We start from the raw sequence: 22,753 nt of genomic DNA on the forward strand, positions 1-22,753 counted from the left end.
TAATGGGCAAAAGTTTAAGGAGAAACAGGATTTGCATAGCCTCAAACATCTCCCTTAAGATATTTATTAACTACAAAGGGAAAGATGATAGTAGAAGAACCTAGCAGAACCTTAACAAAGTGATCAAGGGCAACATTACCAGTTGTGTTAGGCCATTCTTGCATTGCTATAAAGAAATGAGACTGGGTAATTTCTAAAGAAAAGAGGTTTGATTGAATAGTCCTGCAGGCTGTATGAGCATGGCATGTGTCCAGCTTCTGAGGAGGCCTTGGGGAGCTTTCATTCATGGTGGAAGGTGAGATGCTAGCAGGCACATCACATGGCCAGAGCAGAGCAGGAGGTGGGTTGGGGAGGTGCTACACACTTTTAAATGACCAGATCTTGTGAGAACTCACTCACTGTGGTGAGGACAGCACCAAGCCTTGAGGGATCTGCCCCCATGACCCAAACACCTCCCTCCAGGCTGCATCTCCAACATTGGGAATTACATTTCAGTCTGAGATTTGGGCAGGGACAAATATCCAAACTCTACCACCAGTAGAAAAACATCACTATCATGAACCCTGTGATATGATCCACAAAGAGGGATAAAACACTCTTTTTCTGGTATTCTTGACAAAAATTCTCAGTTACATCATGAGAAAACATCAGACAAACCCAAAATGAGAGTCATTCAACAAAATAACTGATCAGTACCCTTCAAAAGTGTCAAGATGGCCGGGCACGGTGGCTCATGCCTGTAATCCCAACACTTTGGGAGGCCGAGGTGGGCAGATCACAAGGTCAGGAGTTCGAGACCAGCCTGGCCAATATAGTGAAACCCCACCTCTACTAAAAATACAGAAAAATTAGCCGGGCATGGTGGTGTGCACCTGTAATCCCAGCTACTCAGGAGGTTGAGACAGGAGAATCACGTGAACCTGGGAGGCGGAGGTTGCAGTGAGCCGAGATCGCACCATTGCACTCTAGCCCAGGCAACAGTGCGAGACTCTTTCTCAAAAAAAAAAAAAAAGTGTCAAGGAAATAGAAGACAAAGACTAAGGATCTCTTACAGACTCCAGAAGACTAAAGAAAAATAACTAAATACAGTATGGGGTCCTGGATAGAATCCAGGAACAGGAAAAGACATAGTGGAAAAACTGTAAAATTTGAATAATGTCTATAGGTAATAGTATTGCCAATGTTAATTTCCTGGTTTTGATAATTTTGCTATGGTTATGTAAGATGTTAATAATAAGGGAAGCTGGATGAGGGATAAATAGAAAGTCTGTGTACTACTTTTGCAACATTTCTGTAAGTCTAAAGTTAGTTCAAAGTAAAAAATTAAAAAATAAATAAAAGTCCTACTGCCAAAAAAAAAAATGGTAGGGCTCCAAGCTGGAAAATTACTGAGGCAGAACTCTAGCCTGGGATCTATTCTTAGCATCTAGTCCCAGCATGAGGATTAGAATCAGAATTGAGGGACTAAGAGAAAAGGAAGAGAGAGTTGTTATTTATGGTGAGCCACCAAGTCCCAAAAATATTAAAAATCAAACTTTAGAGTTGGAAGGGTTTTGCTGATTAGGAAATCAATCGGGTGGTAGTGAGGAAGAAGACATTCACAGAAGGAGTAATGAAAAGGAACATGGAGAGTAAGCGTGTGACAGCTGCAATATTAGTTTAAGTGATACAAATGCCAGTCAGTATGGAAATTAGAATTTTATTTCCAAACAAATTTCAGATATTCAAAGCTGCCTTCACTTTATGTGAGATTAGCTTAATTCTGTCACTGATCCTTCATTTGAAGTAGAAAATGGTCTATGGAGAGTGAAGGCCTGTGACTCAACGCAAGCGTGACATTTTTGCTGCCACTCAGTCCCTTTGATGAAGTTTATGACTAGTTTTATCATTTTTTATATACAGCATTAAATCAAGAGATTTTATACACAAGGCTGTATTGACTTCTAGTCTTTTCTTTCTGTATATAGCCCACAGGCCTGCCCTTTTCTTTCTTCCCTCACAAGAGTAACCTAAAACTTACTTGCTATCTTCCTCCAAAGAAATAATGCAACTCTGCTCATATCAGATATGCTGTGGATGAAATTGTTTTAAGAAAAAGTTTAGGAATTTAACAGAAGGAAAAGTTGAAATGAAAAAAATAATGTAAGAAAGACATAGCTAAAAAATGAAATTTAAACAAGTTACTTTGAAAGACAAGAATTCGCCAAGGAGAAAGGTTTTACCTGCTGATTTATTATGAGTAGACTAATCCTGAACCATTCCCAAGGAGCTGTAATAGTAGTGACTATGTATGATGACTTTCTCAAAGGTGTAGGGAGTGATCTAATATCTCTTACCAAGCGCGCTGGTACTAATGAGAAACTGAAGGGAAAAAAATCTACATTTTCAGGCTTGTTTTCTATTTTTATACAGAGGGAAAGTTATACGTAATATTAATAGAAAATTTGGAGGAAGTAACAGATGTTTTTGACAGATTGTATGTGCATATACCTACTACGTAACTACTTTAAAAGTCTAGTAAATAATCTATTTTGAGCCACAGTGCAAATCTAATGAAGATGTTGCCTGAATTCTGCAGATGCATCAAGACTTTATATTTGGAATGCCAAAGAAATATCTAAAAATTAAAAGAGAGGCAGCCACAGAAGGTGCAACTTTATTTATTTATTTTTAATATTCTTAGTTAAATTTTCTGCCTCATACCTTTGTGGATATCATATTTTTTACTATAATTCTAAGTAGTTATTGCTGGAGTCAAAAATGTTATTAATTTTTACAAGAAAATCTTGTACCAAAAATCTTGAACTCTATTAATTCTAATAGCTTGTTTTTCTCTATATAGATAACTATATATTTTAATAATAAAAACTATCTTTTCCATTTAAGTCTCTGCTCTTCCTATTTCTTTTCTTTTTCTTTATAGTGCTACCCACAATCACTCGTATTATATTGGATAGTAATGGTGAAAGTGGGCATCTTTGGCTTCTTTCCAATCTTTTTTTTTTTTTTAAATTTTATTTTAAGGTCAGAGGCACACGTGCACATTTATTATATAGGTAAACTCATGTCACAGGAATTTGTTATACAGAGTATTTCATCACCCGGGCATTAAGCCTAGTACCCATTAGCTATTTTTACTGATCCTCTCCCTCCTCCCACTCTCCGCCCTCCGGTAGGCCCCAGTTGTTGTTTCCCTCTACATGCCTATGTGTTCTCATCTTTTAGCTCTCACTTATAAGTGAGAACATGCAGTATTTGGTTTTCTGTTCTTGCATTAGTTTGCTAAAGATAGTGGCCTCCAGTTCCATCCGTGTTCCTGAGGAGGACATGATCTCATTCTGTTGTACAGCTGCATAGTATTCCATGGTGTATATGTACCACATTGTTTTTATGCAGTCTGCCATTGATGGGCGTTAAGGTTGATTCCATGTCTTTGCTATTGTGAATAGTGCTGCAGTGAACATACGTGTGCATGTGTCTTTATGATAGAATGATTTGTATTTCTTTGGATTTATACCCAGTAATGGGATTGCTGAGTTGAACGGTAGTTCTGTTTTAGGTCTTTGAGGAATCGCTACACTTTTCAACAATGATTGAACTAATTTACACTCCCACCAACAGTGTATAAGCATTCCTTTTTCTCCACAACCTCACCAGCACAGAAGGTGCAACTTCAGCATTGTCTTTTAGATGAAACATTCAGCCAAGAGCACAGATGGGTTTTTTTTAATAAAATCAGTAAAATAATGCTTTTTCTAAATATCACAATTTTTATCTTTAAAATGGTATCTTCTTACTTTAGGATGTTGCAGCTGATTTTCTCAGCTGTGCTTAGCCTCAACATGTGGAATCAATTGAAGTGAAATATGATGAAAGTTTATATTGATGTAGAGGTTTGCTGTTTGCTTTTTATCAAGTGGAGATTTGTACCCATGTAGACCTAACCACTGGCATTCACTGTTCATTGAGAGGACAGATCAATTGCTGACAGCCTTTCTCTTTAGGTTCCTTACATTCTGTTTAAGATAGATAAAATACAGTAGGTAAAATAATCACCAGTCTATCTGAAGAAAAGTGGAGATTTTTAAAATACAACCTCTGATTTCCACTTTCCATATTGTGCTCAGACTTCATTGCTTCACTCACAGGCAATTCCTATCTTCAGTTTTGTATATGTAGTAACATTTCCTGTATTGTTTGGGGTTTTTTTATGTTTAATGAGAAGGATTTCAGGTGTTTAAAAAATATCGACATTTCCAACATGTGTTAGAAGAACTAGGATGACCATACCAGTAGATGAGGAGTCTTTTCAAAGCAGAGCTCTTTAGTAGATGACTGGCAGATGCCTGATGAGTTAGAGGTGGTGTTCTCGAAGAGAGGCCTGAAGAGCTGGAGTTCATATGTCTATGAGTGCCCCTAGGACAGATTTCAGTTGCCGGTATATAGGCACAAAGCTAAGTAGCTGAAAAAGACAGTATACAGATCCTTAAGAATGATGGCAGTGAGGAGGATAAAGATGGTGATGATAAATGGCAGCATCAGCTGACATTGCTGTGATTAGTAGGTGCTGAGCACCATGCTGAGTGCTTTCTCTACATTCAAGCTGAATCTCCCCCTTCCAGTTTGGTATTTTCTACACAGTCCAATCCCTTTTCTGGGTAGTAATGAGCCAGAAAAGTGGTCCAGATTAAAATCCCCTTTGTACTTGCCGTGGAGGCAAAGAGAACAGCCAGAAGACCTGGGGTGAGTGCTGTGCAGATTCTAACAAACAAAAAACAGACCCTAGAACTCCAGGTCCTAGCCAGGCAGCCCAGACCCTGGATGGTATTAATGCTTATAAATTTTCCATGTTCTTTGATTTTAAGACCTACATCTAACAAAAATCTCACTCCTTTCCTTCTTCCTTTTATCTAATTCTGATACTCTTTTTCTGTCTCTGCCTGGGTGCTCAGAAAACATTTAATGCTAATTTTAAAATCTGAATTACTTTATTTTTATAAGACTTAGTTTATAACACACCTGTAATCCAAAAATTGATAGAAGTATATGTGTTTGTTGAGACTAACATGATTTTTCTTGGATTATTTTATTCCTCATGCTTTGTTTAAAGATTAGACTATTTCCTATACTGCTCCATGCTGAATAAATGTTAGTGATATCAATGTAAGTCTTTATTTTCAGACTTGCTTCCTATTTCTTGTAATCCAGAGGAAAACTCCATTTTTATTTACAAATTTTATTCTGGGTTATGATATCATATGCATACAATAGAAGTATCAAATTTCTGATCTTACATAAATCAGACGTTTTCTGAGTTAGTAGCTTTTATATTTACTTGGAAAAGTTGAGGAATGAAGAGACAAAAAAGTATTATGTAATACTGAGATACTAAGTGATTTCTAGTATAATCACTCAATAGCTGATAATCATAGCTATTGCTCTTACTACTGATAAGCCTGTTTGCATTCTCATCTTTCTTTTGCAGGTGGTTGCCTATCACTATTGTCAAGCAGATAATGCCTACACTTGCTTGGTGCCAGAATTTGTCCACAATGTTGCTGCCTTGCTCTGCCGCTCACCTCAGCTGACAGCCTATCGGGAGCAGCTTCTTCGGGAACCTCACCTGCAGAGCATGCTGAGCCTTCGTTCCTGTGTTCAAGACCCCATGGCCTCCTTCCGGAGGGGAGTTCTGGAGCCACTAGAAAATCTCCATAAAGGTACAGATAAGGCCCAAAGGAGGGGAAAGATGGAGGTTTAGAGCCCAAGTTCACCCGGGTCATACTATAAAAATGATTGATTTTATCACATTGCCAAAACTAAATGTTCCATAGCTGGATATCCTGTAGGATACAGTTAACAGACAAGAGATTTTACTTGCAAAAAAAAAAATCCAGCAGTAACTACTCCTTCCTCTTTTCTTTATAAAAATTCTTATTCTTATTTCCAAATAGAATGCCTTTTCCTTGTCCTGAAGATAGTAGAGCTTTCAGTCCTTTCTGTGAAGTTTAAATAAGTCAGTAAATTTGTGGCTCCAACGCAGTGTTGTGAAGTTTCTATGGTTAGAAATCCCCCCTGTAATATGTAATATTAATAAAAAACATATTTTATTACCCCATCAGTTCATGTGAAGTGGAATGGCCTCCATGGTTACACAATGCTCTGTATAAACCAGAAATCATTTAACTGTACACTTTAAAATCTACTTAAGGGGCATAAGGGTATTTTACGGTGCATAAATTGTATTATAGGAGAGCTGTTATTTTTTAAAAGTGAAAAAAATTAAATGAGATCCATCTCCCATTCATGCTCATGCCTTTCCTCCCTTTTTCCTCTGCAGTTCTAGTGTTAGCAGTGGCCTAAGTGCAACCATTTCCTTGAAAATGGTACCTGCCTTCTTAAGTCTTCCTGCCCCATACTCTTAACAATGTTTTGTTAGTGCCAGAAGCCAAAGAAAAGGATGTGGGTATGCATAAAATTCCTGAGCAATCCTGTTTATTCCTGAGAGACTTAGACACCTTTCTCAAGGGCTTTGGAGGCACTAATAAGGAAAGATGGTTTATAATTTCTCCTGGCCATCATCTTCAGTTATTTCAGCTTCCATGCTGGTTACTTGGATATCAGAATTTCTCTTTCTCCTCTACTCTGATGACCTCTGTCACTACCTTTGCTACCTGTTACCTTTTTAAACATTGCCGTTTCTCCACAAGTATTTTTAAGCCTATTTCCTGGACATTCAGTCAATCTCTAAAACCTGTTAATTCTGCCTTCGTCATGTTTCTCACACCCACTTGGCTCAATTGTTTCTAGCATCATTACCACAAGGACTGTTCATCTGCCCATAGCATCATATCTATAATTACCTCATCCTGGTCTTTCCTGGTTCTCGAGTTTAGTGCTCTTTCCACATCATGACACACTTACAAAATAATAAAACTTTGTATAGCATACTGGGATAAAAATTTATAACTCCTCATTGCTGGACATGACTGGCCCTGAGGAGACAGCTCTGCCAAGCCTCAGATGTCCTGAGGGCTGAATTTTAAGTACACTTCTAAACCATTCATGGCACACCTGGAGGGGAAGTTCTTCCCCAGTCTCTCCAGTCTTCTAGACTTTATGTGTTTCTTCCAGATAAAGTTTTATAAAACACTTCTCTGATCACATAATTCCTCAATTCATAATCCGCTGATTGCCTATTGCCTTCTGAATTAACTTTCAATTCCTTGTTCTGACATTCAAGATGCTTGATGGCCAGTATCCAACCTACTTTTCAGCCTTATTATTCACTGTTATCCTTAGGAACCCTGTGTTTATGTGTAAACTAAAATATTCACTAGTCCTCAAATACTTCCCTAGATTTTCCCACCTCCATATATTTACTCATTATTTTCCTTCTTGATATACCTTCTTCTTAAATCTCTGCCTGTCAGAATTCCACCCATCTATCAAGGACCAGCTTAAATGCTACCTCATTCATGAAATACCTACTGATCTACCTGCCCCCCTCCAGTCAGAAATGATGTCCTTCCAAATAACATTAGATCCTTTTTCAAAATATATATATGTATTTATGGTACATAACACATAATGTATAACAAGAATTTAAAATTATTATTATTAATATTTATTAAATATTTACCATATGCCAGATACACTTTGCAGTTTATAAGAATTACTTTTGTACTTATCCCTTTGAGTAAATTGTATGTTATTGAAATTAGGAACTTTGTAAAATTCAGCTTTTATCCTTCATAGTGGTTACCTCACCTTGAACATAGTAGGCATTTTAGGAAATATGTTTTGAACAGATAAGTGAATATAGAAACTGCTCACATGTAGGAGTACCTTGAAAGAAACACAGTGATACAAGGATCTACACCTTACAGCCAATTCAAGAAGACTATCCATCCCAGCACTTTGGGAGGCCGAGGCAGGTGGATCACGAGGTCAGGAGATCAAGACCATCCTGGCTAACACAGTGAATCCCCATCTCTACTAAAAATACAAAAAATTAGCCGGGCATGGTGGCGGGCACCTGTAGTCCCAGCTACTCGGGAGGCTGAGGCAGGAGAATGGCGTGAACCCGGGAGGCGGAGCTTGCAGTGAGCCAAGATAGTGCCACTGCACTCCAGCCTGGGCGACAGAGTGAGACTCCGTCTCAAAAAAAAAAGAAAAGAAGGCTATCCAAATGCTTGCAGTCAGCTCTGGCATAATTCATATGTTTTATAGTTTTGCTACAAGATATATCTGCCTCTCATTTAGGTCTCCATAACCAGCTTTAGTGATCTCTATTATAAATACTGTTCTAAGTGGATTTAATTACTTCATTTTATTTCCATGTTTTTAACTCACCCTTAAATCACCATTGTGAGCAATAGCTGGAAACACAATTTTCCAGCTGGAAATACTAAAATTTATTAGAGTGACCCAAAAGAACTCAAGAAATAAAGAAGAATATTTTTTTTAGAGATAGAACAAGCAAAATGGTAGATGTATAAGCAATAATATCAACAATTACATTACATGTAAATGGGCTAAGCACTTATATTAAAAGGTAGAAACTGTCAGACTGGATAAAAAGCAAGACTCAACCATATGCAGTTTTTTAAATATAAAGACACAGATTGAAAGTAAAAGGATAGAGACTGTATAAACATGGAGCATAAGAAAGCTGGAGTGACTATAGTAATCTCAGACAGAGTAGACTTCAAGACAAGAAGTATTTCTAAAGAGGCATTTGATAAACATAAAAGGGCCAACTCATCAGGAACATGTATTAGATGTATGCACCTAATAACAGAGGTTCCAAATTCATGAATCAAAAATAGACCAAATTAGAGAAGTAGCTATAGTCCCAACTGCTCTGGAGGCTGAGGCAGAACAGTGTAATTAATGACTATCTAGTTATTTAATGTTTAGCATATTTTTATCCCGCTAAACTATAAAAGCTGCATAACCATTGAAGACATAGCAGCTAGTATGGTAACTGGAACATAAAAGGAATTTAGGCTAGGCTTGGTGGCTTATGCCTGTAATCCCAGTGCTTTGGGAGGCCAGGGCAGGAGGATCACTTGAGCCTAGAATTCAAAACCAGCCTGGGCAACATAGCAAGTACCCATCTCAACAACAACACCAGCAGGCATGGTGGTGCACAGCTGTAGTCCCAGCTACTCAGGAGGCTGAGGCAGGAGGATCACTTGAACCCAGGAGGTCAAGGCTGCAGTGAACCAAGATCATGCCACTGCACTCCAGCTTGGGTAACAGAATGAGACCTGGTCTCAAAAAGAAAAAAGAAAGTTAATCAGTGTAATTCATCATATTAACAAAATAAAGGAGAACATCCACATAATCGTTTCAATAAATGTACAAAAGCATTTGACAAAATACTACATCAGGGGTCCCCAATCCCTGGGCCAAGGATGGATATAGGTCCGTGGCCTGTTAGGAACCAGGCCACACAGCAGGAGGTGAGCGACGGCTACCGCCTGAGCTCCGCCTTCTGTCAGATCAGCTGCAGCATTAGATTCTCATAGGAGCACGAACTCTATTGTGAACTATGCGTGCAAGGGATCTAGGTTGCGCACTTCATCTAATGCCTGATAATCTGAGGTGGAACAGTTTCATCCCTAAACCATCCTCTCCACCCTCCACCCCAGAAAAATTCTCTTCCATGAAACCAGTCCCTCCGAAGTACACCAATTAGTGATAAAAACTACACAAACTAGGAGTAGAAGGAAGTTTAGTCTGATAAAGGACAACTCCAAAAATACATGTAGTGAAATGTTGAATGCTTTTTTCCCCTAAGGTCAAGAGCAAGACAAGAGTGTTCCCTCACTCTCACCACTTATATTCATCATTCCACTGGTGGTCCAGGCTAGTACAATAAGAAAATAAACAAGCATGCAAATAGTATAAATATTGGAAAGGAAGAAGTAAAACTGTCTTTATTTGCAGACAACATAATTGTTTACCTTAGCAAACTCTAAGGAATCTACCCAGAAAAAAGAAATCTGACTAGAACTAGTAAGCACAAAGCTTTAGGCTATAAAGTCAATGTACAAATATTTCTATACTAACAACAAAATACTGAAAATGAAATTTTAAAACTACGTGGCAGTTTTAAAACATGGCTACAAATTCTTTGACATTACTTCCACTAATAGTTCAACCTGGGTCCCCTCCCTTCATAACTGGGCAGGCTTGCAACTGCTTCAGCCAACAAAATGATGCTATGTGACAACTGAGGGAGGTCATAAATAGCCATGCAGCTTCCATCTTGTTCACCAAACCACTTGCTTTGGGAGGCATGTATTGCCATATATGAAACCTGACTACCCTGAGTTCACCATGCTGCAAAGCACAAACCACAGGGAGAGTCTAGTTGACTGTCCCAGTGCTCATTCCTGCTCTGCCACCAAACATATGCTTGAATAAGCTTCCAAATGATTCCAACTTCCAACCCCCAGCCCCAGACATTCAGGTAACCCCTTGCTATTCAATATAGCAACAAATAAGTAGAATAAATACGATTTTCAGTGGCACCAAAAAATATATAATACTTAAAAATAAATGTATGAAAGATGTGTAAGACTTAGTGAAAGCACAGCAAAAATATTGCAGAGTGAAATTAAAGAACTTAGTAAGTGGAAGAGATATGTCATAAATGAGGATTGGAAGATGTCAGTTTTTTCTTAAACTATTCTATAGATTAAACATAATCCTGGCTGGTTGCAGTGGCTCACGCCTGTAATCCCAACACTTTGGGAGGCCAACGCAGGTGGATCACCTGAGGTCGGGAGTTTGAGACCAGCCTGACCAACATGGAGAAACCCTGTCTCTACTAAAAATACAAAGTTAGCCGGGCGTGGTGGCACATGCCTGTAATCCCAGCTACTCGGGAGGCTGAGGCAGGAGAATCACTTGAACCCGGGAGGTGGAGGTTGCAGTGAGCTGAGATCATGCCATTGCACTCCAGCCTGGGCAACAAGAGCAAAATTCTGTCTCAAAAAAAAAAAAAAAAAAAACACATAATCCCAGCAGAATTTTTCTGTAAAAATGGACAACTTTTAGAAATGCAAAGTACCAAAAATAGCCAAAACATTCTTGAAGAAGAAAGTTGGAAGATAGGATCTGGTTTCAAGACGTACAGAATTACAGATTACTATAATAGTCATGACAGTGATATGCTAGTAAATGTTTAACATCCAGCTCAGGGATGGGGGGCTGATTTGATGCTTAAAAGTTTAGCAATCAGCTCTCATGAGCCAGCTTGAGTCAGGTCCAAAATTCCACAGACAGGATTGTATTCATACAAGGATAGAAAATAGATCAATGGAACAGAATAGAGAATCCAGAAATAGACCCACATATGCAGTCAATTGATCTTCTCTAAGATGCCAAGGCAATTAGAGAATTCTTGTCATCAGATGGTACTGGAACAACTAGATAAATGTTTGGGGAAGGGGAAATAATCTCAATCCTTACTTCACACTATACACCAAAATTAATATGAGATGGATCACAGACCTAAATAGAAAAGTTGTATCTCTAAAGCTAATAGAAAAAACATAGAATATCTTCACAAACTTGGAATAGGTAAAGATTTCTTAAGGACACAAAGTATCACTAATTATATAAAAATGATGACAAATTAGACTTCATCAAACTTAAAAATATTTGCTCAACAAAAAATACCACTAAGAAAAAGGAAAAGCAAGTCACCAAAGAGGAGGAAATATTCACTATGTTTCTGTGTGTGAGAGACAAAGCACTTGTATCTACGATACATGTAGAATGCAAACAGTTCAGTTTTTAAATGGACAAGCGATTTAGACACTTTACAAAAGAAGATACGTCAACAGCCTACAAGCACATGAAGAAGTGTTTAACATGAGTAATCAGGGAGATGCAAATTAAAATTACAATGAGAATACCACTTCACACCCATTAGAATACCACTTCACACCCATTAGAATGGTTAAAATTTAAAAGAATGAACATCCAGTGTTGGTAAGGATGAGAAACAACTGGAACTCTAATACATTGCTGGTGGGACTATACAATAGCGCTACTACTTTGGAAAACTATTTGTCAGTTTCTTTTTTTTGAGACAAGGTCTCTCACTCTGTAGCCAAGCTGAAGTGCTGTGGCATGAGCACAGCTCACTACAGCCTCGACCCCCTCGGCTCAAGCAATCCTCCCACCTCAGCCTTCTGAGTAACCGGGGGCTACAGGCATACACCACCATACCTGGCTAATTTTTTTTTTTTTTCAGAGATGGGGGTCTTGCCATGTTGCCCAGGCTGGTCTCATACTCCTGGGCCCAAGCAGTTTTCCCGCCTCAGCCTCTCAGAGTGCTGGGATTATAGGCATGAGCCACCACACCCAGCCAACAGTTTCTTACAAAGTTAAATGTACATCTACTTTATGACCAAGCAACTCTATTGCTACGTATTTACCCAAGAGAAATGAAAACATATGTCTACAAAACACTTGTACAAGAATGTTTCTAGCAGCTTTATTCATAGTCGTCAAAAACTGGAAACAGCCCAAGTGTCCATCAACAGAATAGATAAATTGTAGTACATTCATTCAATTGAATACTTCTTAGTATTAAAAAGGAACAAAATAATAGTACAATCAGTGTAGAAGAGTCTCAGAAACGTGTTAGGCAAAAGAACAAGTGTCTGCAGTGATAGAAATAAGAACAGTGGTTTCCTATTGAGGACTGACTGGAGGAGAACCTAACAAATTTCTGGAAAGATAGAAATGTTCTAAATTTGATCACAGTATTGCTTACATGAGTACATATAGCTGTCAAAACTTATCAAAGTGTATAGTTAAGATCTTTGTAATTCACTATATATAAATTTTGTTGCAATAATTTTTAATATAGAATTATTTTTTAAAGGTAGCTGGAGTTTTTTCAATGGAAAACACTTTCAATTTAGAGTCAGAAGCTAGATTTCAAATTATGTATTTTCTTTGAAAAATGAGTCAGTATTTTTCACAGTACTTTAAAGTTCCACAAGTACAGTGATTAAAATACATACACGCACACCCACATGCTCATATAAAACAAATGAAAAAGTTTTGAAGTTTCTCAGTACACTTTTGCTTTAGCTACCAATATGAAATGAAAGGAGACACAAATTGTTTTGTTTTGTTTCGTTTTGTTGGGACAGGGTCTCACTTTGTCACCCAGGCTGGAGTACAGTGGCAAGATCATAGCTCACTGCAGCCTTGACCTCTTGAGCCCAAGCTATCCTCCTGCCTCAGTAACTAGGACTACAGAAGCGCACCATCATACTTGGCTAATTTTTTTCTATTTTTTGTAAAGATAGTGTCTCACGATGTTGCCCAGGCTGGTCTGGAACTCCTGGACTCAAGCAGTCCTCCCACCTCAGCCTCCCAAAGTGTTGGGATTACAGATGTGAGCCACCAGGCTCAGCTGAGACACTAATTTGTTACCACACTGAAGGAAAGATAACTCAGATATTATGTGAAGCTTTTCAGAACAAAGATATTGTCTGATATGAGTCTTCTTTTTCAATTTCAACAATTCCTATATATACCAGTAAAAGAATCTCATGTGCCGAGATTCAGTTCTGACTTCAGTACTAGCTACTATCTCTTCTCTTGCAGTCTCTGTAATTCTTATTTCTCTCAGGCACCTAGGTAGAGTCTTACAATGGAACTACTAAGGAAGAAAGTTCACGTATTTGTTAGGAATACATGTAAGTGGAGGCAGTGGGGAATCCCTGGTGAACGTGTATTTACAAGGGATTAAAAATAAGGATTTTAAAGGGCTTGGGAAACCTTTTTAGTGACTTGTCACCTAGAGCAGTGGCTCCTAAGCACCAGTCCATTTAAAGTTTTTAGTTAGTCCATGACAAAATAAGAAAATAGCAACAGCTCAGAATTTGTATGGATGTAGATATAATGTAGTTTTCCATATATATGTATGTAAAGATTAGATAATGTCCCTCCTACTTTTTTAATGTTAAAATCCTTTTTATTCTATGAAATATGGTGATCGTGGATGGTAATTATATTTTACATGTTCTTACATGGCAAAATACGAAGCAGCAATCCTTTGTTAGTCCCCAATTTATTTTTATTTGTAAATTTTTTTTAAGCTACTGATTTAAAGTACTACTCTAAATATCTACAGAAATTTGAATGAGTGAACATACTGAAGCATTCTTGTAGGCTGGTTGCATTTCAAAGTGAAAATCTAAAGAACATTAGTATCTCACCTCTTAAATTTATAATTGAGAAACCTTATCATTTAGCAAAGGAAAATGAATTATTTCAGGAACAGTTCTCATTGTTTTACAGCATTAGTAGCATTAGGAAATTATTTGCATTTATCGTTCTGAATCCTAAAAATTATGATATCCTTAGATAAATATGCCCTCCTTACTTCCTAAGTGATGACATTTTTTTTGATACCTACATTAGTAGGTGACTTGTAAGTAATTCCTTCAAAACAGGAAATCTCAAAAAAAAATAATAATCAGAATTTAGAAGAATAAAATTAGCTTTATTAAGGGGGAAGGCAAGTACCCCCTTTTAAAAATAAAAAATAATATATCATCTACTTTACTCATGGGCTTAATCTACTAAGAATTTATGCAAATGAAAATGTAATTTTATTAGCAAATGAATTATTCATTCATTAAAATGTCTGGACCATAATTTACTACACATTACTGATCTCCATGCTTGAGAATGTGTTTGCAATGATATCCCAAAGAAAATCCCAACAGATGCATTATCATCAGCTGTTTTGTCTACTGGAAAATCATGACTTTCTTATGAAGGAACCTGGTTGAAGTTATTAAAGGAGATATAATTGAAGGGCGGGGACAGTGGTGTGCTGGTAAATTTTTAACAGCCACCTGGGAGAGGAGGGCTGATTTGTAATATTTGCCAATTTTTATTGTGTAAATATTCCCACCATACACAATTCCAAGCTACCAGCTGTTTAACAGTCAGAGCTTGAAAATATTGCAGTGGCCTCTCCTGAACCAGTACAGGGATAGATAGCTCCAGCACAGTGAGTGATACTAGCTGATGGTGCTTAGCCAGGCAGAATGCAACTAGAAAATTCCTCTATGGAAATTAAAGGCATGGTTAAGCTTAAGGGAGCCAGAGCCTTCAAAATCAAGAACATAACACCCACCCCCCTCGTTGTTTGGGTAAATCCCAGTTAGTTCCAAGCAACTCCTCTTTCTTCCTTAATACTTTGCACTCCCTGAAGGAATTTCATGTTTTCTTAGTGCTTCGTCATCTAGAATACCACTCCATTAGTAGTGATTGTTAATAGAGCTGGAATCCATAGTTCATTTCACTCCCTAAAAACTTGGCAGATGAAAGTAATTGTTAAAATTCTTCATAATTTGAGAACTGATTTGGATATTGAAATTAAATCTCTTTTATAAAGTTTATGCTTTAGGAGAAAAACAATAAGGGCTTATTAATCATTGCAAAAGATCTGTATATTTTCAAATATGGAAACAAAATAGTATGTTCAGTTTCAATTGGTCTTGACTTTCAAAGGCAAAAATAGCCAATTTTGTATGCAAGTCCACAGACATTTTCTTCTGTCCTCGGCTTCTTCTTTTTCCTCCTCAGATAAAACCTGTTTCTCACTCCAGGTATCTGATGACTGCTTGCCCTCTTCCCTCTGCTTTCCCCCTTTCAGAGCCTGTGAGATCCTGCTAACAAATAACTTTTATTTGTTATTCACAATTCACTTAGACTAAAATGTTCTTTCAGTGTGGAAATTTTTGAATCTCTAATTGTTGAACCAAGAATCAATAAGCATTTATCAAGTGCAGAAGCCTGAAATTTTCCCAAGCTGCTTCGTCAGCATAGCCCTAAAGTTAAATTGATTTTGTCAATGCCGGATCATGTGGAGTCCAAGAGAGAACTGGACACAAACACAGCAGATGTTTGTCTTTTCCACTTGACTCCTCCACTTTTGGGAAGATCATGCAAGGGACTGGTCTCATTGCGGCTGCTTTAGGTATAGTCTAGGAAGCTGCTACGGTGTTGGGATCTAGCCACCTGGTTCAACTCTGTCTAATGCCTGGGATTCCTTTTCTCTGTTACTCTGTCTCTTCCTTCCCACTACACATTCACATTCACATGCAGTCCTATATACTGTTTTAGACTTTAGACTTTACATAAACCTTTTTGGGGACATTCCCAAAAGAACATATGATACTATTCTCTTTAATGCTGTCAGATAGGGAAAAAAAAAAAAAAAAAACAGAACATGTTCTACTCAGCTTTTTCATGTGTAAGAGAAAAATTACTTCCCATGTGCAAATTTTCTTAACTCCAATACTCAGGCTGTCTCACAACTATTAATATGGAGATTTCTGAAAATGATGATATATATACTCATATGTGACAAAAGCCTTCATACCTGATTAAAAGCAAAATGAATTTACTAAGTTAATTTTTCCATGCCCTTAGAATAAATTATGTACCCTGAGCATTCACTAAACACATGACAAGCCTTTTCTAATATTTTGTTCCAAAGAAATATGTGATCAAAGATCCAGTAAGAACTCATTTATCCACTTGGTAATTATTAAGTAATGTGTTTCTTTCTATCTCAGAGAGAAAAATCCCAGATGAAGATTTCATCATTTTAATTGATGGATTAAATGAAGCAGAATTTCACAAACCGGATTATGGGGATACAATTGTATCGTTTCTGAGTAAAATGATCGGAAAGTTTCCTTCTTGGCTCAAACTAATTGTAACAGTTAGGACCAGTTTACAGGTATGTGTTTGTTTGCTTTTAAACCATAAATGATTCCTCTTGGAAAGAGCTTAGACTGAAAAAGTTCTAGGTCCTAGTTTCATAAACTTCTACTATGTCCTAGAGCATTATGAAGAATAATTCCCGAAGAATTAATCTAATATTTTGAGAGATATGATCTAGAAAGACATTCTTTATACGTGACTCTCAGATTCCCATTTCTGTTGCTCTGGATGAGGTTTAATAAAATGTTCCTCAAAATAGCATGAAAAGAAAGTCAATTTTTCTAGACTGTTCTGAGGACAGCAGTGTAAAGATGATCTCTAACACTTTGACTTTCGTTTAACATTTTTTGATCATTTAATGCTATGCAAAATTCAGTTCAATCTACATCCTAGAATGAGATTTTCTGGTTCCTCCCTCTGCTTCTACTTAAACAACTCTTCTATAGCATGAATATGGACTTTCCTCTATATCTGTCCTCCTTTAACAAAAATTGGCAATATTAGGGCTTTAGATTAAATTTACTACAACTGAGAGAGAAGGTTTTTGTTGTTGTTGTTGTTTTTTCTAATTACTTTCCCTTCTCACTCACTGGTCACTTAATGGCCTGGAATAAGGACCAGGAATGTGAGACTGAGCCTGTAAAAATATATGGGCTAAAGATAAATGACTCTGCTTTCCCCAGCCTTCTCATTGTAGCTGAGTTGGTGTCCCATTCTTTACATATTCACACTTGGTTTGGAACAATGTTTCTCATTCTTTTTATAAAAATTATTTCCTCCTATGATGAATATTAAAATCTCAAACATTATATGCTTATCTCACTATTTGGATGCAGCCCCCTTGTCATAAGTGCTGATGTACAGAAAATAGTCTGTACATTTAAGTCCCTCCTTTCCCCCTCTGCCAGGCACTTAGCATTATTTCCATATATTGACCAGTTAGCATTACTGTCTTCCATGATGAGAAACTATATTTCTAATCCTGGCCACCACCTTACAGATGTTTATTATTAATCTCAAAGTAGTTTGAGCTAAAGGATATGGATAAATCAATATAAATCCATCTTTACAACTAAAAATTATATAACCTATCATTATTAGTAGCTTGATTGTTAAAAATGAAAGATGAATGAAAGAAACCTCCAGGAATGTAATCTCTGACTGCTTTACCAAATGGATGCTTTGGAGATGTTATCCTCATACATATTCTCACATAATATCATGTGCAGTCTCAAAAGAAATTGTGTTTCCGGATAGAGTAGGTGACTTTAATTTTTCAGCTGTGCCAACAGAAAAAGTACTTCAACTAAGAATTTTTAAAAATTATTTCATTTCCGACAGTGAAAGAATTTATAGGTTTTAGAAAATGAGCCTTCATTTATATTTGATCATCATTATTTCCACAAACATTTCTTAAGAGTATTTCAGGGACTGTTCTAGGGGCTGGAGATTCAAAATGAACAAGACAGGCAATATTCCCATCCTCCTAAAGCTTATATTTTAGTAAGGAACACAAAAAACAAATGAGCAAAAAGTTAAACATATACTAAAATTACAGGTAGTGTTGAGTGCTATGAAGAAAAACAAAATAGGGTGGAGGGATAACTGGATAGTAGTTGTTTTAGATAGGATATATAGGAAAGGCCTCTCGTTTAAAAGTGATGAGATCTGATCTGTCTTTTTTAAAGATTTCTGTCAACTGGCCGTCTACATAATAAAATGTAAGGGATAAAGAGTTGAAGCAGAAGTATAGGTGAAAGGTAATGGTGGCTTAGACTAGAGTGATAATGATGGGGACCATGTGAAATGGTCATATTTCGTTGGACTGTATTTTGAAGGAGAGTAAAAGGACTTGATGATGGGCTGAATGTGGGTGTCAGCAAGAGAGAAGACTCAAGAATGAATCCTGGGTATGTTGTGAGCAAATGGGTGAATGATGATTTGAGGACAATAGAAAGATCACAGATATCTTCTAGAATTTGGTGGTAGAGTCAGTGGTAATGCCATTTATTGACATGGGGTGAGTTTTGTGGCGGGGGACAAAATTAAGTACTGATTTGGTCACATTGTCTATGAAATATCCAAATGTAAATGTTGAGTAGACAGATATAAGATGGGACTCAGGGGAGATGACTAAGCTAGAAACATAAAGTTAGGCATGAGCCACATATAGATAATATTTAGCACCATGGGACTAAAGAATCTATTGATGGGAGTGAGAATGGCTAGAGAAGAGGAAAGAACAGAGCCCAGAGCCCTGGGTGAGCTGGGAAATAAAAAAAAGAGCCAGCAAAAAAGGGAAGGTTAAAAGTGGCCAGTGTGCTAAGAGAGAAAAGAGGGGAACGTTCTCTGGGAGCAAGCTGCAGAAAGTGACTCCAAAAAAAGTGCATTGAGGTGAGATGCGTTGTGTCAAATATTGCCGAGAGGTTGAGGAAGATGAGAACTGGAACTTTATTATCGGATTTGGCAAAGTGAAAGTTACTGATGCCCTTGACAAGAACCATTTCAGTGAGGTGGTGAGGGTGCAGCCTGATTGGAACAAATGGAGGAGAGAATGGGAAGGAAAGAATTATAGATAGCGAATACAGAAAACTTTTGTGAAAAATGGGAACAGAGATACAGGGTAGTAGCTGGAAGGAAGAATATGGAGTTTATGTATGTGTGACCCAGCTGAGAAGAAACAGATGCAGGAGAGGGAATGGGTACTCACAGGAGCAAAGTCCGTGGGTAGGTAAGAAAGGATGGAATCCAGTGCATAGGAGTAGCCACAAAGCCATATCACCTTCCCCCAGTAGAATTTCCAACAGATTCTATTGGAATCTGTTACCAAGGTGCCAAGCTTCCTACTGTTAGAAGTGTACCTTTCGGCTAAGGTATCTCCAGAAGGCCCGCATTTAAATGTAGTCATTTTATACATCTGTGTTGTGTGGGAAATTTTTTTTTAAATAGTCATTTTATTAGGAGAGTTAGAAAGCCAACTTTTTCTAAGCCAGTCTTTGAATCTTTGTACATTTCTCTTACTGACTTGTACTTGGCATTATGCCCTGGTTTACACTGAGAAAAATTACAGCAAAAGAGTTATACAGTGCTCCGTTTTCTATTTATTTCAGGAGTGTTGTTTAGAATGACGATCATGAAATCACTCCAAAAGCACTCTTTACAAAGACCCATTTAAAAATATATCTTAAGTCTCAATGTTAGGAGAAGTTGTGTCCCTTCTATGCAACTAATTTGTTTTACTTTTTGGATACTAATACTTGATCATGTTTCCCTGTTTGGCCACTTCGAAGTTCAGAATACATTTGTGAACCTCATAGTTTATCACAAGAGTTAGGGGAAACTGAAGGTCTTTCTGTCTCTTTCTCTCTCTCCATCTTTTTAGGAAATTACCAAGCTGCTGCCTTTCCATAGGATTTTTTTGGATCGACTAGAAGAGAATGAAGCCATAGACCAGGACCTGCAGGCTTACATCCTGCACCGGATACACAGCAGCTCAGAGATCCAGAATAACATTTCACTTAATGGCAAAATGGACAATACTACATTTGGCAAACTCAGTTCTCATCTCAAGACCCTCAGTCAAGGGTCCTATCTATATCTGAAACTTACATTTGACCTCATAGAGAAAGGCTATCTAGTGTTAAAGAGCTCTAGCTACAAAGTAGTTCCTGTTTCGCTCTCAGAGGTTTATTTACTCCAGTGCAATATGAAGTTCCCAACCCAGTCTTCCTTTGACCGGGTGATGCCTCTCCTGAATGTGGCAGTGGCCTCTCTCCACCCACTGACTGATGAGCATATCTTCCAGGCCATCAATGCTGGGAGCATTGAAGGCACACTAGAATGGGAGGATTTTCAGCAGAGAATGGAGAACCTCTCCATGTTCCTAATCAAGCGCAGAGACATGACTCGTATGTTTGTACATCCTTCTTTTCGAGAATGGCTTATCTGGAGAGAAGAAGGAGAGAAAACCAAATTTCTCTGTGATCCGAGGTAAGACATATATCTGTGATAAACAATTCTGAGTCTGTTTTCTGTTTATTGCATGGAGTGTGAGTATTGAAAGTAGAAGTGTTCTTCATTGAACATTTCACATAGAAGAGACATCATCTGTGTTTCTTCTCAAGGCAAGGCTATAATGAGGTTAACTAATTTATTGTTTTACAATGTTATTTCCTTAAGACTCAACATCTGCATAGATATTTAGAATGCTATCCTACGTTCCTGTGTTCTTCTAAATAATTTTCACTGACCCCACAGGGTTCACAGGCTATAATTAAGTTAACCATTTAATGGACTTCCTCAGTATTATTATTCTGATATGAAGAAAGAATTGATATATTGTAAATCTCTTTGATTTAGGGCAGAATCATTTCAAAGTTTTTATTGCCCTTTTATAAAACCTTATCATTTTTAAAGTTTCCAGTGACTAAATCCATTAAAGTCCAGCCAATGCTAAGCTTTATACTAGAAAATACAATCTTAAACCTCCTAGCTGAAAAAGATTTGAAGAGATCAGCTGGTCTATCCATGCTGCCTTTAGATACGTAAGGTGTCATTATCTCCATTTTGCTATAAAGGCCTTAAGATGCTGGATCAACTTGCACAAAGTCATAAGGTTAATACATGGGAGAAGGGAGGGGCACACACCAGAATAGGGATCACAAGTGCATGATATATCCCACCACTCCCCACCCCACACGCACAACAGGATCACTGATTTACCCCAGCACTCTTTCCCAATGAGCTTGAACCTGACTTGAGAATCTTTCTCAACTCAAACCAGACTAGATATGAAACTGTTTCCCTTTTTATTGCATGAAACCTAGTTCTCTGGCATCCTGGTCGGGGTGTGCTTTTACTCCGTCATACTAACATTTTTAAAGACGTATTCCTTTAATAAAGTTGGTGTTTTCAAAAGCCGGGTACATTACTGACTTCATGGAAACAAAGAAGACACCAACAACATAGCTGGCAAATGCAGAGCTTATTTTGGCTCAAAAAGAAGAGGCCAGATTTGACTATGCCTCACATGTGACTCATCAGAAAGAATAAAACTCTGTGTTCATGCTGGGGTTTTATTGCCCTTCACCGTGTCCTTCACCAGGCCTTATTAGAGACAACTGTACTGTGGGCATGCTGCTCAGCCTACTCCATGCTGATTCATCAGAAAATTAGTTCCAGATTATGATGAAGATATTAAGCCAGGCAATAGACTTTGTAGCATTTTCTCTGAGAGGGAAGCTTTTTTAAAGAAACATGCTGTAGTGGAAAGAACATAAACTCTTGAGTCAAATTACCTGCATATAAATCCTGCCTCTTCTAGGAACTTTGACCTTTGGAAAAAGTTACATAGTGTTTCTAAGACTTAGTTTTCTTATCTACATAAGAGCAATAATAATGCCTTTTTTCTAGAGTTGTTGAGAAGTTAAGTGAGGTCATATAGTATGATGCCTAGAATAGTACAGAGTAAAAGAAACACTTGGGGTATGTTCTTTTTCCTCCCCTCACCCTGCAGTAATAGACCCTTCTGGTGTATCTTAGTTAAATCCTGTGGCTAATCGGATAGCGACAGCCATCTTCTGCTGTTATCATTTTGGAGCACAAGATTTTAAAAAGAAACAATAAAAACAATCCAAGTCCCTTCTGTGAATTGTATGATGTTCCCAAAAGGATTTTACTATAAATCCTACTAGAGCTGTTGTCAATATTTAATACAAAGAACTGGCAACTATGTATATAGGAAAAAGAAACTAATGTAGAATTGCCTAATAAACGCTTTGAGATCAGTTCCCAGAGAAACTTTGCTAGCTGATCTGGGACCTTAGATCCTGGGACATCTCAGAGGATTGAAAGCTGAGGTCCAAGGCAACCAGACTACCACTGAATTAATAGTATCCTTACAACAGATGAAATCCTCAGGGGCTCTCAGAGGAGAAAATACGGCTTTTATACAGCCATATCATGACTA

At 37.6% G+C, this 22,753-nt stretch overlaps 1 protein-coding gene across 21 annotated transcripts in view, besides 1 other annotated feature; it reads left to right on the forward strand.

Moving 5' to 3' along the window:
- TANC2 (tetratricopeptide repeat, ankyrin repeat and coiled-coil containing 2) overlaps positions 1-22,753 on the forward strand; it is a 461,469-nt gene that overhangs the window by 368,381 nt on the left and 70,335 nt on the right. For all 21 annotated transcript variants that reach the window (XM_011524597.3, NM_001394998.1, XM_006721810.4 and 18 more), the window contains 3 exons: positions 5,486-5,717; positions 16,635-16,801; positions 20,168-20,775. In XM_011524597.3, the coding sequence (XP_011522899.1) occupies positions 5,486-5,717; positions 16,635-16,801; positions 20,168-20,775 (1,007 nt within the window). The remainder of the gene's footprint in view (positions 1-5,485; positions 5,718-16,634; positions 16,802-20,167; positions 20,776-22,753) is intronic.
- Positions 11,665-12,188: an enhancer, noted in NCBI's record as "NANOG hESC enhancer chr17:61423641-61424164 (GRCh37/hg19 assembly coordinates)". NCBI's record gives its function as "activates a minimal SCP1, AML or CMV promoter by ChIP-STARR-seq in naive H9 embryonic stem cells {active_cell/tissue: H9 hESC(naive)}" and the evidence as "EXISTENCE:reporter gene assay evidence [ECO:0000049][PMID:30033119]".

Source organism: Homo sapiens, chromosome 17 (genome assembly GCF_000001405.40).
Source record: "Homo sapiens chromosome 17, GRCh38.p14 Primary Assembly".
Lineage (NCBI taxonomy): Eukaryota > Metazoa > Chordata > Mammalia > Primates > Hominidae > Homo > Homo sapiens.